This window comes from Homo sapiens, chromosome 12, assembly GCF_000001405.40.
Source record: "Homo sapiens chromosome 12, GRCh38.p14 Primary Assembly".
Classification (NCBI taxonomy): Eukaryota; Metazoa; Chordata; class Mammalia; order Primates; family Hominidae; genus Homo; species Homo sapiens.
In genome coordinates, this window is record NC_000012.12 from 78,785,326 (window position 1) to 78,794,945 (window position 9,620).

Consider the following 9,620-nt stretch of genomic DNA (forward strand, 5'->3'; position numbering starts at 1 on the left):
GGGATAGGTTACAATTACTGTTATTATTTCCAATTCCTTATATAACCATATATTTTATGCATGAAAAATGTTCAAGTGGACCCTTGGCCTGATGCTGCAAATTATTTAGTAATAATTTTTAACCTTATTATACCAGAAAAATGTTAATCAAAAGAGAATATTCTAATTTAACTCTAAACAATCATTAGGTAAGAGAAAATTCTTGGGAAATGAAATTTCTGACTTGAAAGTAAATAAGGTTAGAAAATTAGTTTAGCTATATAAAAAATTTTAAGTATGCTGCATAGGAGGTTATATTTGCCAATCAAATACAACCATGGAGTTCTGATTACTAAAAATAATGTTAGGTGATTAGTCAAAGGTAAATATATACATTGGAAAGTATATATGAATTACAATGGACTTTGTTAAATTCTATTAGTAGTTAAATGCATAGCAGGGCAATAAAAATACAAATTATGTATATAAGACTATATGGTCTGAAGTTCTCACTTTAGATAATGAGGTAAAACTTTTTTCTAATTTTCAAACAGTATTATTTTTATATACAGAGATTGGGAAGCCCAACATTTTAAAAGAGGACTACATTGATATTATACTCTCTCTCTCTTTCTGTCTCTCTTTCTGTATCTCTCTCTCTCATACACACACACACACACACACACACACACACACACACACACAGACACGGTATATTGCTTTCAGAAGCAATTCTCAAGACTTGAGACAGATACGTACTTTGCTTTGTTTTAATTCATTGCTAGTTTTCCTGGTTGGTTTGGTAGATTCTAAATAAAGCATGTTTCATCGATAAATAAATGTATATATGTGATAAAATCAGCTGAATGTATTTTTGATCAGTGCAGATTTTGAAACAAACTATAATAATGAAACACAGTAATATTAATCTTATTTATTAAAAAATTTTATTTTTATTTCAAAATTGGTTAATTTTATTTTCTTAGAAACTAAAAATTATACATTTCTGAATCACATTATTTAACTAAAATTTTCAATTTGATGGAAAAAAATGACTTTTTCTCTTGGTAGTCTTCCAGATATGTGCATTTTACTTCAATATTTATCTAGAGAAGCATTTTATAAGTATCCCAGGACTGTCTTTATCAGTGGAAAGTAATAAGTTTAAATATAAACTCCTATCCTTAACCAACATTGTTCACCCTGGGTCTAACTCTGATAGACAGCTATTCCTTCTTCACAGATTGTCAGTGACCTAAGCAAAGCATACAGAAGTTCTAGCAATTAAGCAGAAGAATTAGGTTTTGAACTCCTAAACACTGAGTGTATTGTGATCACCCATCATAATTAAAGTAAAAAATCTTTCAAGTGTCACTAATTTAAATAGGGCTTTTGTTGTTTTATAAAATCCAGTGGACCATTCAGAATAGAGGAATGGTTTTTTTTCCTCTTACTATACCACCAGTGGTCTAATTCAGCCATAATAAAGCAATTCTTCCTATTTTCCTATGGCCTAAGCAGATTTGAAATATGAGGGGAAAATTGATATTATTGATTACTTTTGCTTTTTGTCCTTTTAATTAATTCGGATTTTTCAGTAAGAATGGATTGGGAGAGCAGTGGTTAGTATGCTTGTTATTTCATGATATGGACGAAGTGCTGATATAACTGATGGTTGATTCTGCTTTGAAATTTAAAAGCTTCTCTCACAAATATGGGACTTTTTTTGGAATAAGCAAGTGAGAGTGTAAGGGCATTTATAGGTAATTAAGGCTGATAGTAAGGATACATTTAAATGTTTTTTCTGATTTCCAAAACAATGTATTTTCACCTCTAGCCTCAGCAGCTTCTGATAATAGAACAAAAGAAAGAAGCGGATGGCATTTATCTGGCACATACATATTTTATGCGAACTTTGAACACTCACTCATACAACACAGATTTATTGAGTTCTTACATGACAATTGCTGTTAATAGACACTTGAGATATAATGATGAACAAGACAGATAAACTCCTTACTCTCAAGGAGTTTATAATCTATAAGGAGAAGGTGGAAATTTAACGAACACACAAACTAGAAAAAGTTCTATATACACGGACTTTTAATTTTGTTTAAGACATTGTAGCTTGCAACAGAAAAATGTTCCACTAAAGAACAAAAAGACAATCCGGATAAAATAATTTTTACATTATAGGCATTAGAGAACTACTGAGATAACCAGAATTGGGGTGGGGGTGTGTAATCCCTGAAAAGCAAGCAGTTTCAAGGTTAAGCAAATCAACACTTTGTAGCCAGTTTGCTTAGGATTCTAAACACAGGCAGTAAACTGATGAACACAGTATAGACCCAGAGAGAAGGCCTCTATTACTAGATCAAGAAGAAGCATGTAGTTATTATTGCCCCATGGGAATAAAGTGATAAAAAAGTAAACACTTAGATTGTTAGTAAGAAGGGTGGAACAAAGAACTGATGCCAATACCATCTCAATTTTCACACAGAGTATTTGCCAAATTTTAAAACCACATAAGGCACAAGATTGAGAAACCAAGCATAAACTCTCAACACTTAAAGAAAAATTTTCTATAGTCTCCATGTTAAACAGGATTAGGGTTCAGGGCTCATTTGTGAACACACCCCAAGTGTGGCTGGAGAGTTACATCCAAGATTATAGGTAAGCCAAAAGTATACAAAACCTTAGTAATGCTGAAATCCAGTCTCAAGCTCAACTTTGATTGGATTAAAATAACCTATCTGCATTTTTTGTGTTTAGCAATGGAAAGATTAAACACATTTTGGAGAGCCTCCAAATCCTTAACAATTTTTCATACACAATATCTAATAATCAATAATCAAAGGCAAAGCTCCAGCCAAAAGAAAAAGTAGATAATATAAAAGACCCATAGATGACATTGATTTTGGAATTAGAAGACAGGACTTAAAAATAGCTATGATTAACATGTTCAGGAAAATAGAGGAGATGTTAGAAAACAGATTTTCCTGAGAAACTTGGAATTTATAAAGATAAAGTGAAATTCTAGAACTGAAAAGTAGAGTATGGATGGATGCTGCCAAAAGAAACAGTTGAATTGGCTTAAAAAAGAATGACCAGTGACCCCAGTAGGGAAACTATTCAAGTTGGTCATTTTCTACATCCAGTACAGCACATAAGATATCAAAGGATCAGATAGTGTGACATTTTAGATCAGTAGATCAGTTCCACACTATATGGAAATGTTTGCAGAAGTTATTGGATCTGTATCCCCAGGAGTGAAAATAGAAGGAGGACAAAGCAGCAGAAAATTAGATGAAATGAATCCTACAGAAGCCTCAGCATCCACCGAGGAAGGAATCAAGATCATAAAGTCCAGAAGGCACTAGACTCCTATCTTTTGCATCTCAGAAATATGAGGACCTTTTGCAAAAATTCTTTTGGTCACTTAACAGAATTTATTTGCTTCTACTGTTTGTGCATTATAATGTATGAAATAGCTTATGTTTACATACACTGAAAATTATGCTTATGTGTCTAGGTGTCTTTGAAGGTAAAATGGAGCTCTCAGCTGACCTAAAATATACGTGCAGCATGAGTGAAAACTAAACCTTTATTGCCTTATGCCTCTGAGATTATGTTACTGTGAGTTACTGACATGTAACCTGGCTTAATCCTGTCTGATACACTTCTCAAAATGATCTGGCCATATGCCCATTCTCCATGTTGTGCACCACTTTAGACACACTAGCCTTCTTGCTGTTCCTGAAACAAGCCAGATGCATCTCTGCTTCAATACCTTTGATCTTGACAACCCAAGGCTGTAATGCCCATTCCATCTGATCTCTGTATGGATCAATCCCGCACTTCCTCCATGTCCTTTGTCAAAAATCACCTTTCGTGAAGCCTCCCCTACTGTGTCACCTAACATTTCACCTCTCTCAACAGAATCTCTCTGCCTCCACCTGGCTTATTTATTCTACATATAATTTGTCATCATCTAACATACTATATTTTTTTCTATTTTTTTTATTTTGTTTCTCCTCCACTGCAACATAACTTCCATGAGGGCAGGAAGTTTTTTAATAGTCTTCATTTTTCAGAACCATTTTAGATTTACAGCAAAATTGAGTTAAAGATACTGAGATAGCCCATATACCCCTGCCCCACACAACCACAGCCTCCCCATTATAAACATCCCCCGCTAATGTGGTACATTTGTTGCAACTGACGAACCTGCCTTGGCACATCATAATCACCCAAAGTCCATAGTTTACGTTAGGGTTCACTTTGGTGTTGTACATTCTGTGGATTTGGACAACTGTATAACGAATTTCATGTAACCACCATTATAGTATCATACCAAATACTTTGGCTGCCTTGAAAATGCTCTATGCTCTGTCTACTAATTCTGCCTTCCTCAACCCTCAACTCAACTCTGGACAGCTAGTGATCTTTTTAGTCTCCACAGTTTTGCCTTTTCCAGAATATTATATTGTTGAAATACAATATGTAACTTTTCTCAGATTGGCTTATTTCACATAGTAATGGATGTAAAAGTTTCTTCCATATCTTTACATGGCATAATAGTTTATTTTTTTTTAGTGCTGTATAATGTTGCATTCTCTGAATATACAATACTTTATCCATTCACCTACTGAAGGATATCTTGATTGTTTCCAAGCATTAGCAATTATGAACAAAGCTACTATAAATATCTATGTGTAGGGTTTTTTTTGTGAAAATAAGCTTCTGATTCCTTTGGGGAAGTACCAAGAACTTCTACTGCTCTTGGATCATATAGTAAATATTTGTTTAATTTTGTAAGAAACTGACAATCTCTATTCCAAAGTGGGCATACCATTTTATATTCTCACCAGTAATGAATGAGAGATCTGGGTGCTCTATATCCTCACCAGCATTTGGTGTTGTCAGTATTCTTCATTTTGGTCATTCTAATACGTGTGTAGAAATAATTCATTGCTGCTTTAATTTTCATTTCCATAATGACGTGACGTGGAGAGTATTTTAAGTGTGAATTTGCCATCTGTATACCTGTTAACGTCATTGGCCCATTTTTAAATCAGCCTTTTTGTTTTCTCTTTTTGAGTTTTAAGAGTTTTTTTTGTGTGTGTTTTGGATAACAGTCATAAGGCCTGCAAATGTTTTCTCCCAGTCTTTGGCTTGTCTTCTCATTCTCTTCCCATTTTCTTTCACAGAGCAGTTTTTAACTTTAGTGAAGCCCAGATTATCAATTATTTCTGTCATGGATTGTACCTTTGGTGTTGTATCTGAAAAGTCAACACCAAATCCAAGGTTATCTGGATTTACTTCTATGTTATCCTCCAGGAGTTTTATGTTCTTGTGTTTTAGGCCTGTGACCTATTTTGAGTTAATTTTTGTGAAGGGCATAATGTCTGTGTCTACATTGATTTTTTTGTATGTGGACGTCTGGTTGTTACAGCAGGGCAAGATTTTTTTGTCTACTTCTGAACTAAGTCCTCATTGCCTAAAAAAGTGTCTGCTGCGTAGCAGGCTCTCAATAAATCTTTTTTAATGAAATAATATACATTTTATTGTGTTTGTGAATAAGTCACAATAATATAAACACAAAATAAAAATTCACTTGGATTAAGAAATACTCTTAATGCATGATTATCTATAGGAAAATTATTTTGTACTAGAAATTTCTTAGTGTGAGCTCGTTTTTTAAGTTTGTTTTTTATCTAAGAGCTGAAATCAGGAAATTTGAAAGGGTAGAAGATTCAATTAAGAGATGAGGATGGAAATAGTTGAAAGAGAGAAAGAAAGAAGAAAGAAAAGTAGCATGGCCAGATAACCAAGGAATCAACTTTTTAAGTCCTGAAAGCTTTATGGCCAAAATATGCTAAGGACTCAGTGCCACGCCAGCTTTCTAGATAACAGATGTCTTCAAGAATGTCAAAAAACTATGGTCAGTGAGTTGGATCTTAGCATGAGAGTCTGGTGGTTTTAGACGAACAAACAAGGCAACACTCATTTCACTCAACTGTTATAGAGCAAATTAATATTCATTAGATAAATTTTGTTCAATTCTTCTTATGTTCTGTAAAAACTACCAGACATTTTCACTTTAATTATGTCATTTAATCTTCATAAAAATCTTGAAAGAGGCAGAGCCAGGGGTGAAATTCAGCTCTGCTTGACTATGGAGCACAGAGAGTTTGTCAGATACAGTCTTTTGATGGATAGTGCAACGTCCCAATAGGACATTAAGGACTGTTTTTATGTTATATAGAAAAACAGGTGGAAGAAACCCTCTTCAATGCCAAAATGTATGCACAAAAACCTACAAACATTATTTCAATTTTTTTAAAATAAGTTTATTGGTTTTTAAATGGCTCAAATTGCAAATAAACAAATCAGGTAGTGGCACCAGCCTAAGACACATGATGCATCTTTGTCAGTTGGCTTCATAGCACTTCAGTACCCAGGAGAGAAAAGGTCTCAAAGCAAAGTCACAATGTTAGTGGTTAGGACCCCTGGCTAAATAAGACTATAACGAGTATACAGGGAGATTGCTAGGCCCACTGGCCAGTGTTACATTGGTTACGAATTCTGCACATGGCATAGCCTATGAGAAATATGAAAGATGTACATCTCAAATCCTTTAAGGATAAATATTTAACATGAGAAGCTGGATGTCCTATCTAAAAAGCGAGTTCCTAAAAAGCCTATTTTTAAATTTACGTACACACCTATTACCTGGACTGCCGCCTGAACATATCTTTGACCTGTTGAAAGTAGGACTAAGCAAAAAGAAAAAAATACTCTGTTCAATCAACTGTCCCAGCCCCACTGCAAAGAGGAAAAAAAAATCTGACAGTGGCATATTTCCGACTGAAATTATGTCCCCAAATAACGTGCTAGAATTCTTCTAGCAGGGACACCACGCAATGGTGACACAGCCTAATGTTTGGTCAGTGTGTGCCAAACATATTTTCTGCACTGTATCCCGGTTTGACTGCTTGATGTTAACTTCTGAAAATGTAGCTACAGTGTTCTTCATTATGAACATAAACAGACAAAATTTACTCCTAATAATTCCTATATAAAACTGTAACTTCATGAATACAAACTTGGAAATGAACAGATGGCAAGCATGAATATTTTCCCAAAGTGTTCCAGTGCAAAATGCATTAGCATTATTGACATTTTCTTCCTGTGCCCTGCTCCCAGGAGATTAAAAACTTAACACTTACATGTTCTCCACTGGCAGAAAGTGATTTCCAGGGACCAGCATCTTAGAGAAAAAGAGAGTTCATTCAAACTGGTGCTGAATCCTCGCAGTCAAAAATTCTCTTACAACTACATGCTGGTCCTTCATTTTAAATGACCTTGCAGTTTATTAAAAGCGATCAAAGAGATCTGGAATCATATTTTCAAGAAACAGAGAATGGCCAACATTTTAAATTTAGGCAGAGTCCTAGCAGCCAGTTACTTCTCAAGGATCTTTTATACAAAAGCAGTACTCCATGCTGGGCATATATTTTCTCACCATGACACATGGGGCAGTGGAACCCTGGTGTCAGCAAGAACACATCCAGAATGATATAACTGGGTGTTTTTCAGTTTCTAAATTAAGGTATATTCAAAAATTTCCATGTACACATTTACAGCACTTTTCTAAATTACTCAACAGGTAATTAAATCAGATTCACAGATGAATTACTCTCAGTTTAACTACATGCAACAACCATACCAATAACTTTTTCTTCTAAATTTTGCATAACGATGGTTTAAAAAAAAGTGGTACAGTTTATCATGTTCACAATTGTCATTTTTCAAGGTAGTAGAAGACCAATATATTTTAAAATGATATAAAATTTAAGCTTTATTTAAAAAAACACGAGAGAAAGTCACCTTTCCTCCCATTCCCCACCCCCATCTCACCTCTTTAACATTTCAAGAAAGACTGCCTGAGAAAAGCAAGCTCATATGCTACATTCAGGACGATGATAAATGTAGGCAATAATGAAATAAGTTGAACTTTGCCTCTTGGTAAAGCCACATTTATTTCTTTTTTAAGTAAATTTGACTTTTATTGCAGTTCCAATTCATGCTTTTAGTGATATACAACAATTTCCAAAATGTTAAAGTAATTTCAGTAATTGAGCCTTCAATGGCAATGCTTATAAATTATATTTATTAGTATGGTCAAGATAAGAAAGGAATTTGGACTTTGATTATAAAATGCAGCACCTTTCTCTGATTCTCTTGGCTGAACTTTTCCTCTTCTTTTTTCCATTCTTTTCTTTGCTGTCTTCCATCTTTTTTGCTCGAATTTCTCTCATTAAATCAAAAAGTACCTTGTCAACATTAGCTGTGTTTTAGCAGATGTTTCCACATAGTTAACATTCCACTGGTCAGCTCTGTTTTTTGCCTCTTTTACAGAAACCGGCCTTTTATCTTCTAAATCTGATTTGTTACCAACCAGTAGAAATGGAACATTCTCATCTTCTTTTACTCTTAAAATCTGCTCCCTGAAGTCAGCTGTAGCTGCAAAGGATTCCATTTCTGTAATAGAGAAGACACAGAGAAACCCCTCTCTGCTTCGGAAATAGTTGTCCCTAATTGCAGCATAGTCCTCCTGCCCAGCTGTTTCTAAGATACCGATCTGTACTTCCTCGCCATCCAGTACTACTCTCTTCCGATAGGTGCCTTCTTTGATCGTACATGAACTGTAGAGTCAGAGCTGCCTTGCCCACACCGGCACTGCCCACCGTGATGACTTTGTGTAAGGCCAAATTATTCTGACCCTTGGGCTTATTTGCGGCCATCTTGTGTTGTAGTTCTCACCAACAGGTTAGGAAGAATCTGCACCGTGAGCCAGTCCGCCGCCCCGAGGGCTCCGGAAGCAGCGGGTGCTCGGCCCACGTCGCCTGCGAGGCCCCGCACTGGGAGCAGTCGAAGGAGGAGTCTTTATTATTTCTATTTCACCTATGATGAATATGATCCTCAGTCGGCCAAGGTCACAAAGCTTTTAAGAGGTAATACCAGAATTCATACCCAGATAGTTCTGTCTCCTAATGTAGTGCTTTTCAAATATTGACGTGCATGAGATTCACTAGGATATATTATTAAACGCAGATGTTTATTCCATGGGTCTAAAGTGTATCTGAGATTCATTGTTTCTAACAAACTGCCAGGTGATCTCAATGTTGCTGCTGATGTACCCCACTTTGAATAGCAAGGTCCTAAAAAGTTGAATCCTGAGATATGGAAAGGACGATAAATACAAGAGTAGCCTGTTGGAGCATTTGGAATCACACAAAAAGAGTAATTAGGCTCTTGTCTTATTTTTTTCTCCTACAAGGCAAAAATCTTAGTAAGCAGCAAGACCGTTTATTACACATCCTCTAACATAGAGCAACAATCAAGAGTTGAACAAAAATAATGGGATAATGGACATAAGCAACCAAACCATGGCATTCTCTTCTGGGGAAGCAGGGGTGGTGGTGGAAAGGCCTTGGGTTTCAGCAGGCTTTTGCAAATGACTTCTGTATCAGTTACCTGTGGGTTTGACCACATCTTTTCCCCTATAAATCAGGATGCTATGTTGATTACCGAGAAAGGAAGTAAAATGGAAAAATATTCTTTTTTATTATTAT

General features: G+C 35.3%; 1 pseudogene, besides 1 other annotated feature; it reads right to left on the reverse strand.

The window, feature by feature from the left end:
* On the reverse strand, positions 7,999-8,931 carry LOC642550 (RAS like proto-oncogene A pseudogene; annotated as a pseudogene).
* Positions 8,062-9,261: an enhancer, noted in NCBI's record as "CDK7 strongly-dependent group 2 enhancer chr12:79187167-79188366 (GRCh37/hg19 assembly coordinates)". NCBI's record gives its function as "activates an origin of replication core promoter dependent on BRD2, BRD4, P300/CBP, MED14 and CDK7 cofactors, with strong dependence on CDK7, by STARR-seq in HCT116 cells {active_cell/tissue: HCT116}" and the evidence as "EXISTENCE:reporter gene assay evidence [ECO:0000049][PMID:35650434]".